Below are 25,904 nucleotides of genomic sequence, written 5' to 3'. Positions count from 1 at the left end.
CAAGCGATTCTCCTGCCTCAGCTTCCCAAGTAGCTGGGATTACAGGCGTGTGCCACCATGCTTGGCTAATTTTCTATTTTTAGTCAAGATGGGGTTTTACCATGTTAGCCAGGTTGGTCTCCAACTTCTGACCTCAGGTGATCTGCCCACCTCGGCCTCCCAAAGTGCTAGGATTACAGGCGTGAGTCACCATGCCCAGCCACTTGTCTTTTTAACATTGCATTGTAAGAGTTCTTTATATATTCTAGAATAAGTCCCTTATAAAATGTATGGTTTGTAAATGATTTCTTCCATTCTGAGAATTGTCTTTTCACCTACTTGGTAGTGTCCTTGAAGGCACAAGTTTTCAATTTTAATGCAGTCCAATGTTATCTGTTTATTTTGTTGCTTGTGCTTTTGTTGTCATATCTAAGAAACCATTGCCCAATCCAAGCACAAGGATTTAATCCTGTGTTTCTTCTAAGAGATTTAGCTCTTACATTTAGGTTTCTGATTCATTTTGAATTAATTTTTATATATGATGTAAGGTGGGGTCCAACTTCATTCCTTTGAATGTGGATACCCAGTTGTCCTAGCACCTTTTATTTAAAAAGCCTTATTTCTCTACTGAATAGTCTTGGCACCATTGTAAAAAAAAATCAACTGACCATAATAAACATTAGGGTTTATATCTGGACCCTCAATTCGATTTCACTGATCTATACGTTTATCCTTATGCCCATACATGCCCAATGTCTTGATTGCTGTAGCTTTGTAGTAAATTTTGAAATCAGGAAGTGTTAAGTCCTCCAACTCTGTGTTTCTATTTCAAGATTTGACTACTCTTGGTTTCTTGCATTTTCATATGAATTTTGGGACAAACATATCCATTTCTGCAAAAAAGGCAGCTGGGCTTTTGATAGGGACTGCACTGAATCAGTAGATCAATTTGGGAAGTGTTGACCTCTTAACAATACAGTCGGCCCTCCATATCCACAGGTTTCACATCCATGGATTTTTGATTCACCAACCACAATTGAAAATATTAAAAAATAAATAAAACCAATACGACAAAAATATAAATAAGAAACAATAGAGTAGAACAACTATATAGCACTCACACTGTGTTAGGTATTATAAATAATCTAAAGATGATTTAAAGTATATAGGAGGGGCCAGGTATGATGACTTATGCCTGTAATCCTAGCACTTTGGGAGGGCGGGGCAGGCAGAGCACTTGAGGTTCAAGACTAGACCAGCCTGGCAAATGTGGTGAAACCTTGTGTCTACTAAAAATATAAAAATTAGCCAGGTGTGGTGGTAGGTGCCTATAGTCCCAGCTACTTGGGAGGCTGAGGCAGGAGAATCGTTTGAACCTGGGAGGCAGAGGATGCAGTGAGCTGAGATTGTGATAATGTACTCCAGCCTAGGTGACAGAATGAGACTCATCTCAAAAAACAAACAAAAAAAAAGGTATACAGGAAGACGTGTGTCAGTTACATGCAAATACTATACGATTTTATATGAGGGACTTGAGCATCCAAGGATTTTGGAGTCTGTGGTGGTGGTGGGGGAGGGGTTCTGGAACCAGTCCCCCATGGATACTGAAGAAAGACTGTATTAAGTCTTCCAATCCATGAACAACATGTCTTTTCATTTATGTAAGGCTTGAATTTACTAAAATGGGGTTTTGTAATTTTCCGTGTCCTTGTCTTGAACTTCTTTTATTAATAGAAGTGGTAAGAGAGACAGTGTTGTCTTGTTACTGATCTTAGGGGGGAAGCATCCATTCTTTCCCTGCTAAGTAAGATGTTAGCTGTGGGTTTTCATAGATTCAGGTTTTTCATATATGCCCTTTATAAACAGGTGGAGGAAGTTCTTTTCTGTGAAGGATTAGCCTTACCCAAAGAGAGATCTGCACTTTGCCCTCAGCTTCTGAGAGGTAATCTTCATGCCTGATAGGATTGTCTTTGTTTGTCTGGGGGCCTTAAGTGACAATGGGACAATATGACTTAGGGTAGGAACTGGCCATAGAAGAAAGACCAACAGTGTGATTCAGGGTAGGCGTTTGGGTTACACAGTATCAGTAGACCTTGGGGGAGACTGAAGACTAAGATCAACCACATGGGCAATCAATCATGCTTACATAATGGAGTTCCAATAAAAACTCTGAACACTGAGGCTTGGGTGAGCTTCCCAGGTTGACTAACTCCATGCACATTGCCACACATTGATGCCAGTGAAGTAATATGCTCAACATTTGGTACTTCCTTGGACTCTGCCCTACACCTTACTTTCTGTGGTTGACCTTAATCTAAATTCTTTCCCTGTAATAAACCATAATTGTGAGTATAATAGTTTTCAGTGAGTTCTCAGAGTCCTTCACTAGACTTATCAAACCTAAGGGCAATTTTGAGCACCTCCTGAACTTGCAGTTTGTGTCAGAAATGGGGGTGGTCTTGTGTGGACTACTGTGGTCTAACTTGGTAGTTGTTTCAACTCTTTGCACCTTACGTTGCTAGTTTGTTGAGTACTTTTATCATGAGAGGGTACTAGATTTTGTCAAATGCTTTTTCTGTGTCTCTTGAGATGATCACATAATTTTCCCCTTCATTATATTAATATGGTAGATTACATTAGTTGATTTTCATATGTTGAGCCCACTTGGTCATGGTGTATAATCCTTTTTATATGCTGCTGGATTCAATTTGCTAGTACTTCGTTGAGGGCTGTTGCATCTATTTTCATAAGGAATACCAGTCTGTAGTTTTCTTTTCCTGTGATGTTTGGTATTATGGTTATACTTGCCTCATAAAATAAGTTGGAAAGTATTCCCTCTTCTTCTATTTCTTGGAAGAATTTGTGAAGGATTCATGTTGATTCTTCTTTAAATATTTCACATAATTTACCAGTGAAGCCATCTGGGCCTGGGCTTTTCTTCGTGGGAAGTTTTTTTTGATTACTAATTCAACTTCCTTTTTTATATTTCTATTCTGATTCTTCTTGAATTAGTTTCAGTAGTTTGTGTCTTTCTAAGAATTTGTTCACTTCATGTAGGTTATCTAATTTCTTTGCATATAATCATTCACAGTATCTCCCTATAGTCCTTTTTATTTCTTTAAGGTCAATAGTAATGTCCCTTCTTTCATTACAGATTTTAATACTTTGAGTCTTTCCTTTTCTTCTTTATTAGCTAAAGGTTTGTCAATTGTGTTGCATTTTCCAAAGAACCAAATTTTGGATTTGTTGATTTTCTCTATTGCTTTCTATGTAACAACTGACTTTTGCAAACACAAATGAGAATGTACATTCTGAAAATAACATTCAATTTACAGTAATTTTAAAGTTGGTCAAGACAGTTTATCAATCAATGGCTTTTTCAAAAAAATTTTACCAAAAAATATATCATGACTGTCAAAAGGGTCATGTCACTACAGTGATTTGGGGTGAGTTTCAGACTGATTCCACCTTCTTTCTCAACACCTGAAGCCCATGAGAAACCTAGACAAGGCCTGTGTTCTGTGACATACCTTATCTGTGCATGACAAATTGAGGCTTCTGACTAGAGTATTACCTTAATGGTTGAATATTTGAGGCTGTTGTTAATTTTTTTTTTTTTTTAAGAGATGGGTATCATTATGTTGCCCAGGCTGGCCTCAAACTCATGGGTTCAAGTGATCCTCCTGCCTCAGCCTCCTGAGTAGCTAGGACTATAGCCGTGCAACACCATGCCTGGCAAGGCTGTTTTTAAAGAAGACTAATGGGTGCCCCCAGATCCTGGGTATAAAATTTTAGCCCTGTTTGCTTAGGAATAGCCTTTGAGTGTTCTAGCTCCAGTCTCTTAAGAGAGCATGCAAAGGACAATATAAACATTATTTTAAACAATTGTAGAAATATGGCTAAATCGGCAAAGTAAAGGAAATTAGACATTTTGTTTTAAGAAAGTATAAATATACTCACCATTCATTAACCAAGGCATATCAAAGATCACTATTTTTGCTGAAAGATGAAAAAAAATTCATTGAATGTGAATCAGTACCTCTATAATAATATCACTCATACCAGCCTAGAAAAAACTGGTCATCTAAATTTAAGTAAAAACTGAGCTTGTTGTCTGAGCTCTAATTCAGTGAAGTGTATAGTATCATGAATAGTATTCCATGTGGTGCTGGAACTGAACTAGCATGTCACAATGGTGAGGTGCCAGCCCAGGAGGAAGACTTGTGGGAAATCAATAGTGCACTGTCACTGTCCTCTGGTAAACAGCCTATTCTTTTGTCACTCACTGCTTTTGTTGTTTGCAGGGAGGTACAAAAGAAAACAGTTAAGTGGATAAATGGAGTTTTTGGATGTGGCATGTCAAAGTAGTGCTGAAGCCACTGAACTTTAAAATCATTTCCAGGTCTAATTTATGGTTTCAATTACAATTTTCTAGAGATTCTATTGTTAAACCAGTCTCACAGTTGCCCCCTCCCCTTTTAATACATCACTACGTTTTCAGAAACAAAAATTATTTCTACTTTATATCATGAGCTCCAGGAAGCTAATAATTCCAAAGTATGCATAAGTATTATTTACACACTGAGTTGAAGATACTAAACAGCCCTATTAACAACTGAGACAACTGTGAGAAAGAACCAGAAACTGCAAAGAAGATTTTTGAGATTCAATTCATTCCTCTATTCCAGAGGAATCAAAATGTAATTTCACTCTTCTCTGAGCAGAGAACCTCTTAGAGTTGTTGCATTAATGTAGGACAAGTAAAGTACATATAAGGAAAAAGGCATCTGTAAAGAGGCACCCTGGTGCTTAATACCTCAGTCTTCGTCTGGGATATGCTTAAAATAATGTGGACTCAAGATTTTAAGATATAATAGTTATTCTTCATGACAGATTTTGAAGCATAATCAATTAAGATTCCACGAAATTCAATGTCTGCAAAACTATATTATGTAGGTAGAATATATATATATGTGTGTGTGTATATATATATATATAAAATCTCTAGTTAAGATGAATAGTATTACAACTCATCTTTATATAGATCTATTAACTTTTTAATAGTTCTCTCAAAAGAATCTCAGATGTATTTTACAAAGTAATAATAATATTTATACTACTGATAAGTGGCTCTTCACAAACTCCTTTAGATATTTCAATGATCAAGTGGATATTTTTTCATTTTGTCCATAAGAGCAACAAACTAAAACTATGGGGTAGTGATTCCCTACTGACCAATGACTGGCACTGCTCTGGAGGCCTTAAGGAATCAGGGTACATGCCAGATACAGGAAAAATCCATAAGGAACAGAAGATAGTACAGGTTCCCCAAACTGGACACTATTGATCATTCTTTTTACCTAAAAATATTCATGAATACTCTCTCTGAAAAGATGAGAGTATACAGCTAGGGGTGGCACTGACTCTTGATATCCATTATGCTTTTTGTCTATTCCTCACTTCACATTAACAATAAAATTAACATGCCAAATTAAGATAATTTAGGGATTTTATGCTAAAGTCACCTGAGTCACGAGTCCCAAAAGACCCAATTTGCTGTTTTCTAGGAGTACGCTCAGGCAGATCTGTAAATTCCCATTTTCTGACATCCCTGTTGCCTCTCTGCTGTCTTTTCACTTTTAAACCATTGGGGTTAAATATACTTGACTGTTTATGTGAGTTGGCATCTCGGCTTCCCTAGGGTGAACCCATCATACAAATTCAACAAGTAAAAAATGGACTATATAAGGTTTAGGAGTTCTTCATTCAGGTAATTAATGGAATAGTCACAATAAAAAACAAACAAACTCCAAATGCCAGATTCAAATGTAGTACCTTCTAGTCAAGTATTTTCTTAATGACAATTTTTAAGTAGCAGTTGGTAACAGTGTACTTTATATATCAATATTGCTTATTATACAGTGTACTCTATCAATACTGCTTATCTGTTCTTGTATGCAAGAAGTTTCATATAATAAATACTATTTGAAATGAATTTCTAAATTGAAATATTAGTAAAAATGAGATAATTTTGAAATAAATGTATGCTTTTATGTACCTATGTGTGTGAGTGGGTGTGTGTGTTATAGGATGCCATATATATAGTTTAGAACTTAAACTCTTAAAATTAACTGTGAAGGACAATGAATACTTATGAAAAACTTTCCTCTGTATGTGTTACAATAATGTCTATGAACACATTTAAAATTCTTCATCAGAAAACAAAGTTTCAGGTATGAAAGTCTATAATAACATAAGGCTCCACAATTCTCAGACATTGTCTACAGTTTCAATATGTTATATTTTTTATAAAGGAGTAAGTTACTTACAGAGGTATTTAGGGTAATAAACCTTAAAGCAGTTGATGATAAAGCGTACAAAGTCCATGTCCTAAAATAAAGATTAAATCTTTAAGACTGTCCACATTAGAGAACTTAAAATTGCACATTTCTAAAGGTGATAAATTATTAAATACAAGTGAGACAATTATTAAATTCTTTAAAAAGTAAGCTCATATGTAAATATCTATATTCTCAAGGATTAAGGTTTTAGGTCATTAAGCTATTTATAATAATCAGCCCTAAAACTGACTTGAAGAAACCAGATGCTTAGTGATGTTTTAAAATTATTCACATTACCTCAAACTAGTTACACACTTCAGGCTACTAAGGCAACAGGGCATAAAATGGATCTAAAAGCAATCTCCATAGAGAAATTCTAAAAATCTGTTGAATAACTAAAGAATTATTGAAACAAGTATACAGTTTATAATCAGACTACTTGGGATAATAATACACATGTATGTAAATTCTCATATATTTGCTTTTTAATCCTAATTTTTACACCACATAATAGTGTCAATAAAATATATTTTATCAACCTTTTTTAAACACAATACTTAATCTAATCACATTGGCCTGCTGTATCTACTCCATTTCTGGCTTTTTAAATTTTATTTAGAGACCTAGAATTAGTTTTTTAGTTTATATTCCAGTGTTGTTCACTGATTCTGATTTCTGGGAGACTACAAACATAGCTATCTGGTTGGTTCTACTGCTTTGAGCACAGCAACAGGAAATTAGGTCATTAAGGTTATTTCCATGAGTCATTTCACTCCATGGCCACATACTGATTCACTAATTCTGATTGGCCATCTTATAAAGACTGTGGGATGAAAGATACAACCAAGCAAACTGAAATCCATCACAATTACTGGAAAGGTGGGTTTTCCTAGAGATAAGTGTCTATAAATTCATCCCTGGAATGTTAGTTGCAGCATCTTTAATTGCAGTAAACTAAAAGTAAGCATCCTTAACTATCTTAAGTATTTGTTATGGGTATATATATAATAATACCTTTGTGTGTGTGTGTGTGTGTGTGTGTGTGTGTGTGTGTGTGTATGTATATAATATATATATATAAAATACCTTTGTGTGTATATATATATATAATAATACCTTTGTAACTAATCATTATAGCCACTGTGCATGGAGTTTTCATAATTGGCAGTTAAGTAACAGTCAAAGAAAATAGCTGAAAAGAACCAGTTATATAAAAATGTGGTTACCTAGTCTAGAATTTATGGCCCCCAGAGACTTTGTCTAAATAGTCTTGGAATAACATTCTTGTTTCTATCATTTATTTAATTGAATATCCTTCTTCGTAAAATCGTGAGTTACTGCTAATTCAAGTGGATATGATAAGATGTCACTGGTGTATTCTATTAATGGGGACTACAAGAAATAGCTCCATCAACCCTATTGCTCAGCATTCTATAAGGATGTTTTCGAGGAGGCTGTTATTATCTTGTAAAACGTCCTTTTGAGGACCCATGAAAGACTTTCTAGTTCAAGTATTAGGAATGGATATACTTCTAAGACACTGGTTGTGAAGGATGGCCGCTGAATAATTTTAAATGATTGCATTTCTTTCAGGCAGGCAGCTGAAAGCTTAGAGCCAAACTGGTGTCCCAACTCTAACAAATGATTTTCTTATTTTTTGCCTTGAAATTTATAAGCTCACCTAAATTCTTTGTGACATGTTTATAAGCTCACTTAAATTCTTTGTGACTCATGAAAGGGTCATTTATGAAAATAAATTATTCAGTAAGATTCAAGTATTTTAAAACAATAATGACTTAAATACTTAGTAGTGCAAATACACCTTATTTACAAATTAAAGATGGTGAGATATAAGTAGCTTGAAAAAATAAAACAGTTCAAGTCAATTCTCTGTCCTTATACTTGGCAACAAAAATATTAACATTTATTCTTCATGATTCTGGGTTAATAATTAGGAAACTATCATATCCAAAGGACAAAAGAATCAGGATTTATTTTTATGGAATATTTATTTATCTAGGCAAATTGATTTTGATTTTGGATATAAAATAATTTACTTTCTCTAATTTAAAACCACTGACATGGAAACTAGGTTGGAAAACTCCAGGGCATCGGATCCTTGAAAAATAAAAAGAGAAATAGAAACATGAAAAAAATTTGTGGTCCTACCACTGCAAGAAAGCTCTTGTTAGCAGTTCTCTCTAGCTGGTTTTGTGTTATGTCTACAGTTTCCTTTGTTGGGCTATGTATCACCATGGTATAGAATACATACATATTATAGTATGTATAATCATACAGCTTTTTTCATCTCAGAAAAAAGTGTTCTCTCCAATATTACTATAAATTCCTTAAAAACACCATTTTACATAGCTATATGTATACTCCATCAACTAACTAGATATACCATAATTTGCCATTTCATCATGTTGAACATTTATATTTTTTTCTAATTTTTCATTACTTTAAATGACACTGGGAAAATATTTTGATGTATGATGCTTTTTCTGTACTCAGGATTATTTCTTTAGAATAGATTTCCAGAAGTTGGTTACCAGGCAAAGAATATAAATACAAACACTTTAAGGTTCTTAACATAATTTGCCAAATGGAATTCCAAAAAGATTTCAACACTGCCCTGAGCACGTTTGTGAATACGACATTACTGCTATCAGAATTAGCCACAGATTAAATATAAGAGACAGTAGTTAGAATAAATGTGCCAAGTGATCTCAATTGCTGCTGAAGGGTTTGTAGGTATCACTAAGGTCACAAGGACCCAAATTAAAGACAGGTAGGTTTTACTTATTTTTCAAGCTTGGCAAAATCACCTGAAGAAAACTGGTTTCCAAAGCTAACCAAATCAAACAGATAGAAAACAAATCCAAACAAGCAAACAAAAACACTCAATAAAATCACAAAGTGTTATATGTGCAAAACTCATGTGAACATCTTGCAACTGTAAAACATGGTATGAATATAACAAATTCGAGATGGTATATTACCTTACTTGATATTTCCTGAATATATTACTATGTGGCACACACCGGGGCAGGTGCTATAGGATATTAGCTTTGATATCAAAGTTCACAGTTATCACATCGATTCATACCTTGCCAGCCTCGACATGCTACCTCTCCATCCTGTGTCTCAGACAAGGAACATTTCTAGGAAATCGACAGTTTCAACGCCAAATACAGAAACAAATTTAATTCTCTGCAAACCCTATTCCATGTTTGACTACACTCACACTGCAAGGTGAAAAAATAAATCCCTAATATAAGTTAGTTACCTCAATTTTACAGCAATATGTGGTTGGCAGCAAGGACAGGAGAAAGGGAGGAAGCCATGATAAACACTGATTTGGAATGAATGAAAAAATGCTTACAATGCTATTTATTCCAGTTTCTGACAGGTCAAACATCACTGTTACAGGTTTCCCATTTTCCCTCTTAGCATAACGTTCCAACCAGAATGCTATGAGCTTCTTTTTGTCCAATATGGTTTTCTGGTCTTTTACATGATACTTCACCCTGATCCAGACTTTAAGCAGAAGATAAAAATAAGAACAAGACTTATGGCATTATAATATTATTATACATATATATTGCCTTTCCCTTGACATTTTTCATTTACAATTCATTTTATTTCTTAGATCAAAAACATCTCTTTCTTATTTTCAATGAGAAACTGTTGCACTTGGGTGCCTTAAATTGAAGAGTAGCAGAGAGATAGACTGTTTCCCTTAGGAAATAAACAAATTTCACTTGTAAGAGGGAAAAGAAAATACAGGTGAACAAACACTATTTGATAATAATCTAAATGTGCTCTGCATTGTGCTTAACAAAAAAGAAAGTCATTGCTTTTGTCGAGCACTGGAAAAAATGTTCCGTCCAGAGGAAAGATACTGACACAGGGCGATGGAGGCATGAGCCAGTGCCGTGCGTGTGTGTGGAGCACGGTAAACTGTTCAGGTGGTGGTAGCTAAGATGAAATGTGATGAGTGGTGAGAGGAGAAGCTAAATAAGAAAGAACTGGACTTGAAGGACTGTGAATGAAACTCTAGGGCACTTTCATTTTCCTATTTTAGAACACCTTTCGGGCAATAGCACAGAGGGCAGACTGGAGGAGGCAGAGAAGGAAACCCACCAGGTTATGACCTGGGAAGGGACTGGGGCAAAGGTGTAGTAGTTAGAAACTGAATTGAGGAAGTAGCTGGTGAGGATGGATAAAAGGCCAAATTGAAGCTATATTAGAGGAAGAGCCAATGAGTGGGCCTGAGGTGGGCAATACAGAAAGTGAGCAAGTGGACAGGCATGGATGTTCAGTAGTGTGTTGTGCTAAAGGCTGCTGACAGTCAGGAGGGGGCAGTCAGTGGGTAGCTAGGTATGTGCATGTGGCCTGGGGATGGTGTGGGGTCAATACTGTGCCGGGGGAGGTAGCTAAAGCTGCCAAGATGCTCGTGATTGATCACCCAAGGAGACTGTATCAGCTGTAAAGTAAAAGAAGCAAGAAAGGAATAAAGCCTGGGAAACACCTTTAAGGGACAGGTGGAAGAAGAAAAATGAGAAAAAAAAGGTTGAAAAGGAGGAGGTGGCAGTAAGAGGAAAATGCAAAAAGAGTATTGCTCAGAGACGGACCACATGCTATGGAGGAGTGAAGATGAGTGCAGGACATCTGTTCAGTATGGGGCTTGAACATGCCTGCCAAGTTGCATCCCTGGTATAAAACCAGGCTGGATTTGGGGCAAGTGGGAGAGAGGTATAACAGGGGAGTCATTGGAACAAAAGAGATGATTGTTACTGTTCCTTTCATTATAATACACATTTCAGAAAAAGCTAGAGTGAGATTATGGGAGACTCGAAAAGGAAAAGGCCTATTTAGCAACCTTTAGCGACTGTCAAAAAAATTCTCCATAAAAATACTAAGACGAGTTTTAATATCACAGTCAGATTAGAAAGAAGATAATGACTCTGAATTAAATAACTTTGTTTATGCTGTAGGATGCAGCATTTATTTTTTGCCTTTATTGCCTACTTTATTATAATGCAAACAGTATGCACAGCTACTAAGTATCTAACACTCTGTAAAAATGGTCCTGCCAATCCCTCATTGCAGAAGACCTGAGGAGTGCTACAGATGGAGAAAGTTCTGCCAATTCTTAATTCAGTTGACATAGATATCTCAATCTCAAAATCTTGAAAAGCCAGAACATAAATTAAATATACTTACACAATTTGTTACCTTCTTTGTCATAACCATGGAGATAAATAACACCAATTTCCAATAACCATCTGGGAATGGAGGATTCATTAAGGTCTAAAAAGTGGTAAGCTTTGATCAGTAGTTGTAATTTAGGGGTTTAAAAATAAAACTCATAATGTAAAGATAATGTTATGTAGTAGTTCTGAGCTTTAAAAATGATATAATGTACCCAAACATTCAAAAAAAAATCTCTGGCAATATAAAGTGGTGCTTCCTACCAAGCAAACAAACTAAATAATGACACAGGGGACCAAAATGGACAAACTCCATTTCCCTTGACAGGTCATTATTTATGTGGATACATTTCCACATTTTGATTGTTTCACATAATGACTTGCAAACAAATATCACTGTCAGAGTTTCAAGAGAACATTCTAGTAAATATCCACATTGCAGCCTCAGAATTAGTAGAAAAAAATCACTTTGGTTTCTTTAGTAAAATGGTATTTTTCTATTAGGTTCATGCAAAAGTAACTGTGGTATTTGCAGTTAAACATAATGGCAAATGCTGCAATTACTTTTGCACCAATCTAATATTAAGTTTGTTATCTAGTAGACTTTAATGCATTTAAAAACCTTTAGGAAAGTGGAAAATACTTCAAGAAAAATGGCCAGGCATGGTGACTCATGTAATCCCAGCACTTTGGGAGGCCAACACGGGAGTATCATTTGAGGCCAGGAGTTCGAGACCAGCCTGGGCAACACAGTGAGACAACCTCTCTACAAAGATAAAAATATAAAAATTAGGCTGGGTGTGGTGGCTCACGCCTGTAACCCCAGAACTTTGGGAGGCTGAGGAGGGCAGATCACGAGGTCAGGAGATCGAGACCATCCTGGCTAACACAGTGAAACCCTGTCTCTGCTAAAAATATAAAAAATTAGCCAGGCTTGGTGGTGGGCGCCTGTAGTCCCAGCTACTTGGGAGGTTGAGGCAGGAGAATGGCGTGCACTCAGGAGGCTGAGCTTGTAGTGAGCCGAGATCACGCCATGCACTCCAGCCTGGGTGACAGAGCCAGATTCCATCTCAAAAAAAAAAAAAAAAAAATCAATCAATAAATAAATATTAGCCAGGCATGGGAGCACATGCCTGTCGTCCCAGCTACTCAGGAGGCTGAGGTGGGAGGCTCACCTGAGCCCAGGCATTGAAGGCTGCAGTGAGCTATGATCACAACACTGCATTCCAGCCTGGGTGACAGAGCAAGACCCTGCCTCAAAATAAAATAAAGAAAGAAAGAAAAGAGAAGATAAGAAAAGAAAACAAAAAATGTGAGAACTTGAACTTCAGCAGGAGGAACAAACAGAGTGCCTCTCCAGTTTTTGGGGAGGCTAAGGACCAACATAGCAAGGCAGCAAATGCCAATGTTTTTGTTTCATTCACCAGCAGTACCTTAAGACCTTTCAAAGATTTATCTTTCCCCATCCCCTTTTACCATATCTCTGCTATTTTTCACCAGGAAATAGCAATTCTGTGTAAGAAAACAAACATTGTTGAGTTTAAATATTTATTCAGTACTTAAATCGTTTAAAAATATCAGATTTATATTTCTTTCTTTGGTTAATAAATGCTTCACTGTTGAAATTACCTACATTTGTTAAATTTCCAATCACATTATTTTTTACTAATCCCCCTTTCAGGGATTCCTTCTGCAAGCATGAAGAGTGAGGAGAGTATCTGCTCTGGATTTATTGTTGACTATTTTGTGTTAAGTCTTCAGATTGAAGTCACTTCAGAGGTTATAATCCTCAAGGACAGAAAATTCTGCTTTATGCCTAACTGAAAACAGAAGTTATGCCAGTTTCTTCTTGTTCAATTTTTTGGTGGAGAGAACTAACAGGTCTTCATATACTTGAAGACCATTATAAAACTCCAAGACTTGAAACTCTCATTTTTGGAAAAAAATTCTATCTAGTAGCAGACTTAGAAATTAAGAAGTTAAGGCTGCATGTACCCCAAAATATGTACATCTACTATGTACCCACAAAAATAAAAACAATATACAGAGAAGACTGTGATAGGCTTCCTTGGGGATAAGCTTGCATTTTTGGGGTGACTCTCATTCATTTAACAATTCTATATGGCGTACCTATTAACCTATTAGCACAAGGAACTGTGGGGACAGAGAAAGGCATAGGCAACAACTGAGAAAAATGGACAGTATCTCCTTATTTCTAGGCCTAGTAGCAAAGATACTGTCTTGCTATTGCTTAATGGTACTGAATTAAACACAGATTAGGAAACTCTGCTGTGAATGAAGAATCTGAGTGTGATTCTGCTCTCTGGTGATCTGATTTCCTTATGAATGATCCCACTTAAAAGACTTATAAGCTGTTCCTTTGAAAATATTACTGGGTCTTTATAAATAATTATATTCTGGTGTTTATGATGACTGCTAGGAATATGTGCAAATACATGATTAGATAAATGTAAAACAATACCATTTATACAGTATATATTACAGTCAAGGTTAAATTGAACAGCTTACCATTGACAGAAATTTCTTTCCTCCACTGAAAACTCTCATCGAGCATCTTCAGTGTTTCATCTACAATATTATGTCTCCAAGATAAGTAACTTTCAACCCAGTTATCATCTTGTTGTAGCCTTTCAACATCACGTGCATCATATTTATCTGACTTATCTAGGGAAAAAACAGTAATAAACATCCAAGTCAGATTAATTCTGCAGTGAAAAATAACCACTAATGGCAAAGGAGAAGAAAGACTTCCAAGACAAAGTTAAGCTATTTGAGGATAGACTCAGGGATGTAGTTCAGATAAAAGCGCCATTTAAAAGATTGATGGTGCTATTGTTTGGATATGGTTTGCTTGGTTCCCCCAAGTCTCTTGTTGAAATCTGATGCCCAGTGTTGGAGGTGGGGTCTGGTGGGAGGTGTTTGGGTCATGGGGAGGACTCCTCAAGAGTAGTTTGGTATCATTCTCATGACAACGACTGAATTCTTGCTCTTAGTTCCCGCACGAACTGATTGTTGAAAAGAGCCTGGCACCTCCTCCTTTCTCTCTTGCCTTTTCTCTCTCACCATGTGATGCCTGCTTTCCTTCATCTTACGTCATGAGTGGAATCTTCCTGAGGTCCTGATCAGAAGCAGATATTGACACCATACTTCTTGTATAGCCTGCAGAACCATGGGCCAAATAAACCTCTTTTCTTTATAAATCACTCAGCCTCAGGTATTCCTTTATAGCAACACAAATGGACTAAGACTGATGGAATTCCCAAGTGTGAGGAGAATGCGTTATCTAAAGACTGCAGGTTTAAGTAAGCCACTACAGATGTTAAAAATTACACCAGAGTAAAGTATTTGGTATAGCCCTCTCTAAAACTATACACCAACATCTGGGAAGATTAATTATGTTATCTGAACTTGAAATTCTTAAGTCAATGAAAAATGAAGAAATTTCATATGTAAAGAAATAACTAAGTTGTGCTTTAAAAAGACATTTGTTTGGCAAGTGTCATTAAAAAAAAATTAAGTAGGCCAGGTGTGGTGGCTCATGCCTGTAATCCCAGCACTTTGGGAGGCTGAGGCAGGCGGATCACCTGAGGTCAGGAATTTGAGACCAGCCTGGGCAACATGGAGAAACCCCGTCTCTACTAAAAATACAAAAATTAGCTGGGCGTGGTGGCGCACCCTGTAGTCTCAGCTACCAGGGTGGCTGAGGCAAGAGAATCGCTTGAACCCGGGAGGTGGAGGTTGCAGTGAGCTGAGATTGTGCCACTGCACTCCAGCCTGGTGACAGAGTGAGACTCTGTCTAAAAAAAAAAATAAATAAATAAATTAAATATAAAAATAAAGACAAAAAAAGAAAAAACAACAACAATAAAAAACAGTAAAAAAAAAATTAACTAAGTACCGATGGAAAACTGATCATGTATGCCATATTACGGTATTTACTATTTTCAGACTCTGGCCAACACATTTTCAATAATTTCTTGGAATAATTATTTCTAATAACAATAATTTCTCATCAGTTGCTCACACACACACTATATTCCCACTAACTTGTATAGCAGACATTCCTCCTTCCTTGCCCTGCTTTATTATTCTGTAACTGAACCTTCCTTGTCTCTGCACATCCAAATGCTACCATTCTGCAAGTCTCCTTTCAAATGCTCCCTATTCCATAAAATTTTCCCTGAGTCCAGAAGTATTAGGTTGGTGCAAAAGCAATTACTTTTATGGAACTTGAACTAAGCTTTTCTTAAGGTGCTTACCACTTTTACCTTGAAATACAGTTACTAGCACGGAAGACATATTTCCCAAATAGACAGTAGAGACAGATAGTCTATACATCTGAGCATCCTCCAAAGCAGATTACAGTAGTGCCAATGAAAAGGCCTTCCATAAACATCTGTTGATGGAATCTATTCCTTCTCATTTTTTTCTCAGTTGTCATACCCTCCTAAGGTTCATACAAAAAACAAAAGAAAACAAAACAAAGCAAAACAACTTCAGGAAATTCCCTGGCTCCTTCATTTCCTTTTCTTCTGCATCTAGTTAGTTGCCAGGTTTTATGGATCCTATCTCTTCTTGATTTGCACTGCCTTATTTCAGGTCCTCAGAGATAATAGCTGAAAGGCCAGGAAAATATAGACTGCATTCAGAGAATTGTCTTCTTTGAGTCTCAATTTCCTTATCTTTAAGCTGTTTTATATACTCACAATGCTGTGTGAGGATCGGATGAAAAAGTATATATTTAAAGCACTAATTTTATATATTTAAAGCACTAAATTTAGTGGAAATTTAAAGCACTATAAAATATAAGAAGAGGCCATAAATCATGCATTTGTAAGAGTGCTGCTTTGGATATGGCTTTTAATAGCTGGGTTGTATTTTTCTAATCTATAAAATGAGTGGTTCTGTGGTAGGTAATCTTAGAGATTGTTGTTTAGCTCTGCTATTTGAAAATTCATCAGTATTCAAAACACATTTTTTACAATTTTTTTCAAGTAAAAAGGGTGGCCTATGAAACAGGTGACTAATTCAGCTGGCAACTCAAACATACTTAGCATGCAGAAGTGTTTTATGCACACTTCCCGATTTTGTCACACAGAACATTGAAAGGACATGTACTCAAGGGTCAAAACTTAATACAATTTACTGTTTCATCAGGGACTTTCTAAAATAAAATTGTCTTTTTTTTTTTAAACTAAGAGTGCTGACAATGAGGACTACAATGACTACCTGCCTTGATTTGGGCGAAGCAGCCAGTACTGATTACACATCATTGCTTCTGTGTAATCAGTGCAAATGTAAAGAAAGTGAAAAAGGCAAATGATATCTTAGCATTATTATGAAAATAGTTTTGACCTCATAGCTTTCTGAAAGTCTTGGGCATCTCCTAGGATCCCCAGATATATTCTAAAAACCAATTACTTAGAACAATATATGGCAAGTGGTAAAAACTCAGTAAATATTAGCCATATTAAGAAGAATAAAACACTATTGTTGTTGTTGTCATTTTTACCACCACTGCTAGTACCATCACTAGGGAATACCATAAACAAATGAATGTCCATTACTAAGAAATTTAAAGCCCACGGCTCTTTGATAGCTTTCAGCAATGTTGATCTTTGAAATTAGAAAGCCCCATTTATATTAAAATGATTTTTATTAATGTTCTTACATATAACATGCTAGTTGTTGACCATTTACCCCTAGACAAATAGAAATGAAATCAGAGTAGGGGAAAGAAAAGAGAAGACAAAGATTTGACAGCTAGGCACATGGGGGTTGGGGGAGAGAGGCAGGAGAAAAGTAGAGGCAGAAGACGACAGAGGACAATGGGACAGAGGAGAGGGTTGAGGGGGAAGAGAGGGGGAGAGACAGATAGAATGAGACACAGAGGAAAGAAAGGTGAGGGAGGTAAAGATAAAAGAGGCAGAGAAAGAAACAGAATAAACTGAGCATTGAAGGTAAGAAAAACATAGCCTGGAAGCACAAGGCCAAGGGTGATAAATAATTGTGCTTTTATCAACACAATTTGTTGCTTTCACACACAGCCCTCAGACAACTGAGCCCTCAAGCGATTGGAAATTTCAGAAAACCAGTCCTTGGGTAAGTTCAGATGTGCTATGGTTTGAAGCAAGCCTCTCCTAAATTCAGGTGTTGCCAATGTGACAGGATTAAGAGTAGGGCCTTTAAGAGGTGATTAGGCCATAAGGGTTCCTCCCTCATGAATGGCATTATGGCCCTTATAAAAGAGGCTTCATGCGGCAGTGTCCTCCTCTTGCCCTTCCACTTGCTGTCACAGGAGGACACAGCAAGAAGGCCCTTACTAGACACCAAGTACTGGCACCTTGATCGGAGACTTCCCAGCCTCCAAAACTGAGAAAATAAATTTCTGTTCTTCATAAATTACCCTGTTCTGTTCTTTATAAATCACTCAGCCTCAGGTATTCCTTTATAGCAAGACAAACGGACTAAGACTGATGAAATTTCAGGTATTTTGTTACAGCATCACAGAACGGACTAAGACAAGATGTTACAGAAAGATGCTAAAGATGTACACCCAAAAGATTATCTAAAGATATAAAAACACACATGCATGCACACAAACACACACACACACACACACACCCCTAGGACATTTTTTTGAAAAACTTTACCTATCAACAATTAAAATGTAGAGATGAGGGTAAGAAGGTGTATTATTCAGGGTTCTATAGAGGGACAGAACTAATAGGATAGATATATATATTTACTGTGTTAGTCTGTTTTCATAATAGCTGCTGATAAAGACATACCTGAGACTGGAAAGAAAAAGAGGTTTAATGGACTTACAGTTCCACATGGCTAGGGAGGCCTCACAACCATGGCAGAAGGCAAGGAGGAGCAAGTCATGTCTTACATGGATGGTGGCAAGCAAAGAGAGAGGTTGTGCAGGGAAACTCCCATTTTTAAAACGACCAGATCTCGTGAGACTCATTCACTATCATGAGAACAGCGCAGGAAAGACCTGCCCCCATAATTCAATCACCTCCCACCAGGTTTCTCCCACAACACATGGGAATTGTGGGAGTTATAATTCAAGATGAGATTTGGGTGGGGAGAGAGCCAAACCATATCAGAAGGGTTCAGTTTTATAAAAAGGTGTGTGTGTGTGTGTGTGTGTGTGTGTGTGTGTGTGTGTGTGCGTGTGTGTGTATATATTCTCCCAATACTTGTCCTCATACACAAATGATAGCTTGTCTCATAATACCAGTGAAAACCACATCAAAAACAACAGTAATTCCAAGTGGTGGATTTTTAAGCCTCATCTCTGTATTTCTTTAAAATAGCTAATTTCAGCCAATCCTTCATGAAGAAACCTTCTTAATGAACTATCAGCACCCTATGGTTCATTGGCCCTTTCTACTATTTATTTGTTCTAATATGAATTTTGCTCTGTAAATTGTTCTTCTATTTATACAAGTGTATTACCACCAAACAAATTGTAAAGTCCATTATTTGGGAGAGAAAGAACTAAAGATACATGACAATGGTGATATGTCTCTAGGAACACACAGTATTAAATATTCCAAGGTAAAGATGACCTGTCTCAGCTTTTCATGTCTCTCCATACACATGCATATGTGTGTTCTCTCTCACTCACTGTTTCTCTCTCACACACAATTTTTTAAATAAAAAAATAAAATTTTTTAAAAATTGTAAGATAAAGAAACTATAGCTCTTACTTGTAAAATAGCAAACTTTATTATTAACTTTTCTTTTTTTCTCTTGCATTTGTTGGCCAGTGATGTTACCAACAGGTCTGAAACTGTGTTTTAAGGCTAACAATGTGAGAAAATTTCTGGCCACATTCAGGATATAGAGTAGAATGATGGACTTGGAAGACCCATGCCACTATGTATAGTGAAGCTAAGCAAGTCACTCTAGGCTTTCTATTCTTCTCTGTAAAATGAAAATGAGGTCTGTCTACCTACAGTCTCAGAAAGATCAAGAACACTGAAAAACTTAAACACTATACAAATGACTTTCCATCAACATACGATAGAATGCTAACTATGAAAAGAAGACTAAATTTAAATTTACCTATTAGTTTACCAGTAAGGAAAATCTTGGAAGTACATTGTTGTTACAAATGTGCCTAAATTTCAGATAAAGGTTGAAAAAATATAAAGTATTCTAATAACGAAAACTAGAGAACAGTTAATATTCCAAAGCAGCAAACATATAACTCTAGATCATTATAGTAGTTTAAAACATCTTAGGATCTCTTATTTCTCCATGACTCTGAGCATAGATCCACTGAAAGTCCTTCTGGGGCATTAAGAGAGCATTCGTATTGGATGGACTATTTCTATTAGCTGGACTGCATAAATGTCAGTAATGGGTGTGATCAAGACAAAAGAACAAAATATTCCTTCAAGATTATTCTCTGCTAGTTGGCCACAACCTATTCTGAATCTCCACTTTCTTGTGAAACTGGTGAGACTGAGAGACAGGTAATCTTTTATAATGGGATTAAGCCATTGGTTTATAGCAGTGATTCTTCAACTTCAGCACATATCAGAATGATTAGGAAGGCTTATTAAAACTGAAATTACTGGGCCCCACCCCTAGACTGTCTAATTCTGGGTGGGATCTGACAATTGGTATTTGTAACCAGTTCCTACATACTGCTGATGCTGCTGGTCAGGGACCACACTTTGAGAACTGTTGTTCTACTGCAGGAGCTGGCAAACTTATTCTGTATAGGCCCAGATGGCAAATATCTAAGACTCTGAGGGCCATATTATATTCTTATTATATTCTCTGTTGCTGATTTCTCTCTCTCTCTCTCTCTCTCTCTCGTGTGTGTGCGTGCATGTGTGTGTGTGTGTGTGTATGTGTGTGTATGTAACAACCCTTTAAAAGGCTCGGCTCAAGGGTCATACAAAAACAAGACTTTGCTGATCTCTGGTCTACTCTAAAAAGGGGAGGTGCTTTCTGCTTCAGTTCTTATCCTTCAAGAGCTGGATTCCTTAGTACACTTGAACAAACAAAGCTAAACTTTCAAAACTGTTCTCCAGGTCCTCATCAGTCACCAGCCAGTTATCCAGGTTAATTAGATATAATGGACCTTGGTCTATTCCTGTATATTACAGACTCTGCCTCAAGGTCTTCGCATAAGCACACTATCTACAATCATTCCCTTGGCTCATTTTGGTCAAATGGGAGAATGTAAACCCAATTTCATCAAAACTAATAGGATAATAGTAAGAGTCAGTCATTTTGAGAGGAGCTCCTCAAATAGGGGATGGCATGAGAGGAGTCGGACTGATGCTGTCTCCTCTAATAAGCTCCATGAAGTCAGGGACTTTGAAAAGTCACACCCTGCTCCCTCCAACTCTGCCCAATACACAGTAAGTACATGCTAAATCTTTGTTACTGAATGATTAGCCATGTACAAGTCTATCCCCTAGTAGATCTTGAGTTCATTGAGGACCCAGAACTTCACTAATAAACTGTTTTATTTCCTTCCCTTTTGAAAAGTTAAAAAATTATAGAATAGAAAATAATGTTAACAAATATTTATGTAGCTGTAACCCAAAATTAACAAATATTAAGTTATTCGCTTCAGTTTTTTTTTTAATAAAAGGACTAGAATGTCATAGATAAAGCTGAAGTTACCCTTAATCTTCCCATAAAAGCCTTACATTTCTTTGCTAGATTAGGCAGTTTAGAGGATTTTGTGTTGTTATCATAAGCCTATGACAAGATTGGCAAACTTTATACCTCATATTTTCCTGCCACGTTCATAACTAAGTTATCCTATATAATGTAGAGTTATTGAAATAATAGCAGAAATCATTGTCTTTTTCCTGACTTTATAGGAATTATTCTAAAGTTCCCCAATTAAACATCACATTTGCTGTAGGTTTTTAGAAGATACACTTAACTTTAAGTACTCTGGAATTTCCAATGTGATGTCCTCTTTAACCCACGGGTTATTTAGCAGAAGAATTTACACCATTGCTGAGAAGTTGGTAATCCATGGATTATTTAGAGGTGTGTTATTCTAGTTTCCTATCATATGACATGTTTTTAAGTACCTATTATTGTGACTTCTGATGTAGTTGCTTAATAATGTATGGGCATGGTCTGTATGATGTAGCTTCTTTGGAATTTTCTGAGACCCCCTTTATGACTTAGTATGTGGTGAATGTTTGCAAAAGCTCTGAAAGTACAAATATATATTCAAAAAGTATATATTCTGTACTAGTTGGGCAGGAGAGTCTATATACTCATATACATACACACATACATATATATGTATAATCAAATTTGCTCATTGTAGTGTTAAAATCTTCTAAATCTTAAATATTTCTTGCCTGCTAGTTCTATTTCTGAAAGAGGGTTGTTAAAATCATTCAACATGTTTGTAGATTTCTTGAGTTCCCCTTATGATTCTGGGTGCTTTTTGCTTTGAGTATTTTAAGGTTATATGGTTAGGTAGTTTTTTATGTTGTTAGTTCCTAGGTGTTATACCCTTTTACGGTTCCTTTTATCACAAATAGTATCCCTTTTTATATGTATTAATGTCTTTCACCCTAAGTAACATTTTACCTAAAGTACTGCTGAAACAACATTACTTTTGGTTAATATTTGTTTTGTATATCTTTTTCCATCTATTTTCAACCTTTCTACATTAATTTATTTTAGGTTAGTCTCTTTTAGACTGCATGCAGTTAAGATCTTTAAAAATCTAATCTGATATCTAATATGCAGAAATCAGTTTATATTTATAGTAACTATTGATAAAGTTGGAATTCTTTCTGCTGTCTTCCTCTGTGTTTTCTGGTAACCAAGCTGCTTTTTTTCTCCTTTTCTGCTTCTTCCTGGAGAGGACTTTTCCTCCATTCCCCTTTTCATTCCTCCACTGGTGTGGAAGTCAAACATTTTATTTCTATCTTTCAATGATTACCCTTATTTTAAGTATTCACACTGAAAACAACAAAATCTGCAGTTAGTATCTCTATCCTCATTCTGAAAGTTCCTTGTAATACTTTACCTCCATTTCTTCTACTCTTATTATTATTTGTTTTTTCTTACTATCCACAGTTAGATTTTTTATTTACTAATTTGCCTACCCATTTCTTTGCTTTTCATTACTTCTTGCATCCCTCTGCTTCCTTTGGTGTACTATTTACTTATTAGTGAAGTAGACAAGTAGTTTTTTTTTTTCCAGCAATGGTCAATCTTTGCATGCCTAAAAAGTTTTACCTTCACTTTTGAATAAATGTTCTAAGTGAGCAGTTATTTCCCTCAGCACTTTCAGAAAATTATTTCACTGTTTCCTGGCAATACTGTTACTGATGAGAAATCAAGTATCAGTCTGATTTTTGTTTCTTTGTGGATGTGTCATTTCTCTTTGGGTTGTTAGATTTTCTCTGTCCTTGGTGTTTTTTGGTTTCACTAAAATAAGCATTGAGATTAATTTCTTTTTCCCTATGATGCTCAGATTTTCTTATGGTTCTTTAATCTGAGGATTTGATATCTTTTATAAATTCTGGGTAACTGTCAATGATTATTTCTTCTAATATCACTCTTTTTTTCCTTCTGGAAGTTTGATTAAATGTATATTGTGTTTCTCATGCCTTTTATTTTTCCTTACACATTTTTATCTGTTTTCTTCCTCCAATGATCTGGGTATAGAGTAAGTACTTGTAGAAAAACTTTAAAATAGTCTGTGAATGTCCTATGTCAGTTGTGAATATATAGCAGTATAATGGGTAAAGAAAAGCTTCTGCAAATCATGGCCCAGCTAGTAAGTACTAGTATCTAATATCAAAGAAAATTCTACACATATATGCCAAATCTTTATAGTCACTACAAGTTCAGCTTAAACTAGTTTTGATTGAAATGTAGCAAATTTTTGTCCTCCTATTCCTTGCAAAATGGCTACAGGAAGAAAAAATCCTTTAGGAATTTCTGTGAGCACTACTCAATCTCCTAGAGATCTTATCAAACCAAAATTCTTGTTAGAGGGTAAATTTTCAGTAATGAAAAACATTCATATGATAGAGTACTACTATCAAGAGCACACAGTAGATTTGGTAAACAGACCACTCCTCTCATGCAAGCTTTCCAAATGACAATGACTAAAAACAAATTCACATCTTAGAAATGACAGTATTCTAGTAACAGACTCTTTTTTTTTTTCGAGATGGAGTCTCACTCTGTTGCCCAGGCTGGAGTTCAGTGGCACGATCTTGGCTCACTGCAACCTCCGCCTCCCGGGTTCAAGCAATCCTCTGCCTCAGCCTCCCGAGTTGCTGGGATTACAGGCACCCACCACCACGACCGGCTAATTTTTGTATTTTTAGTAGAGATGGGGTTTCACCATCTTGGCCAGGCTGGTCTTGAACTTCTGACCTTGTGATCCACCCGCCTTGGCCTCCCAAAGTGCTGGGATTCCAGGCGTGAGCCACAGCGCCCAGCACCTAGTAACAGATTCTTTAGAGCTGCACATTTCCCTAACCATTCAGAATGAGGATATATGAAGAACAGGTATAAACAACTTAAAGAGATGAGTAAAAAAAAAAAAAAGAAAAAGAAAAAAACAAGAACATTCATCAGGCATTGCAAAAAGTCATTACTGAAAAGAAACATTCAAAAATAAATAGGTTTACCAAATTTGGTCTCCAATGTGAAGTTACAATCTGATATTCTCCAAAGCAGTCTTGATATTTTTAGATATGTAATAAGGACAAAAATTGGTAACTTTTTAAAAAATTAATTTAATTGACAAAAATTATATTTATGGTATACAACATGATGTTTATATACTGTGGAATAGCAAAATCAAGCTAACTGACATGCATTACTTCACATACTTATTTTTGTACTGAGAACACTTAAAATCTACACTCTTAGCAATTTTCAAGTATGTAATACATTGTATTTACTATAGTCTCCATGTTGTACAATGTATCTCTGGAACTTATTCCTCCTGTCTGATTGAAATTTTGTTTCCTTTGACTCATATCTCTTGAATCTCCCGCCTCAACCCTCACCCCTCCAGCCCCTGGTAACTGACATTCTATTCACTACTTGCGTGAGTTCAATGTTAAAAATCTAAAACATTAACATTTATGTGAGATCATGTGGTATTTGTCTTTCTGGGCCTGGTTTATTTCACTTATTTCACTTACCATGTCCTCCAAGTTCACCCAAATTGCTACAAATGATAGGCTTTCCTTCTTTTTAAAAGGCTGAATAGTATTCCACTGTATATATATACCACATTTTCTTTCTTTTCTTTTTTATTATGCTGCACCCATTAACTCGTCATTTACATTAGGTATATCTCCTAATGCTATCCCTCCCCCCTTCCCCCACCCCATGCCAGGCCCTGGTGTGTGATGTTCCCCACCCTGTGTCCAAGTGTTCTCATTGTTCAATTCCCACCTATGAGTGAGAACATGCGGTGTTTGGTTTTCTGTCCTTGCCATAGTTTGCTCAGAATGATGGTTTCCAGCTTCATCCATGTCCCTACAAAGGATATGAACTCATCATTTTTTATAGTTGCATATATACCACATTTTCTTTATCCATTCATCTGATAACCTCTTAAGATCTTTTCCTCTTATTCTGATGATGACAACTTTAAAAAGGTTGATCTTGAGAATGTTAATGATGGAGTAGAATTTAAGCAAATCCAAGTGTGTCTGTTTATTTATCAATCTTTTAAAGGCTTCCTCACTTGGAAATAATAATAACTCATTACCTATGAGCACTAATCTCTGATCACCTGCCACATGCTAGCCTAAAAGAGCCAGGTATTGCAGATGCAAAGATGAGTGGAGCCTGAGCTGGTCCCTGAGTGGTTCATAGTCTAGACACATAGGCAAACTCTCCAGTAGTATAGTTACATTTTAAATGTCATTTTCCTTTCAAGAAAGAGTAATCAATAAGGACAATCCCTGTTATATGTTCCCTTTACCCTACAGGAGTTTTTTCCATTTACTGCTTATCTTCCTGTCCTTGAAATTCTCCTTTTTTTGTTATCTACAATAATAAAGTTTCCTGGTTCTCCTACTTCTCTAACCACTTTGTCTCCTTCAGCCTAACAAAATGAAGGCATTCCTCAAAGCTAATTGCTTAATTAAAAAAAAAAAAGGACAAAATAAAGCTATTTTCAAGACCAAGAAAGTTTACTACCAACAGATCCCACCAGGAGAAATCTAAAGGTTATACTTTAGATGAAACAATAATGACCCAGGATACAAGATCTGAAACTCAGGAAGAAAGGGTAAATCAAAATAGTAGTAAATATATGGTAGATAAACAAACACTGATATATAAAACAACAATA

At 36.1% G+C, this 25,904-nt stretch overlaps 1 protein-coding gene across 3 annotated transcripts in view; it reads right to left on the bottom strand.

The window, feature by feature from the left end:
- MOSPD2 (motile sperm domain containing 2) overlaps positions 1-25,904 on the bottom strand; it is a 48,907-nt gene that overhangs the window by 15,384 nt on the left and 7,619 nt on the right. For 2 of the 3 annotated variants that reach the window (NM_152581.4, NM_001330241.2), the window contains exons 3-7: positions 14,066-14,221; positions 11,550-11,636; positions 9,706-9,860; positions 6,309-6,369; positions 3,940-3,978 (exon numbers count right to left, since the gene is read on the bottom strand). In NM_152581.4, the coding sequence (NP_689794.1) occupies positions 3,940-3,978; positions 6,309-6,369; positions 9,706-9,860; positions 11,550-11,636; positions 14,066-14,221 (498 nt within the window). Of the gene's footprint in view, positions 1-3,939; positions 3,979-6,308; positions 6,370-9,705; positions 9,861-11,549; positions 11,637-14,065; positions 14,222-21,486; positions 21,654-25,904 lie in introns of those variants that run through there. The other variant, NM_001177475.2, reaches the window with a different exon arrangement.

This window comes from Homo sapiens, chromosome X (assembly GCF_000001405.40).
Source record: "Homo sapiens chromosome X, GRCh38.p14 Primary Assembly".
Taxonomy (NCBI): domain Eukaryota; kingdom Metazoa; phylum Chordata; class Mammalia; order Primates; family Hominidae; genus Homo; species Homo sapiens.
The sequence above is the reverse complement of the archived record's forward strand: the minus strand, read 5'-3'. Positions and strand labels throughout refer to the sequence as shown.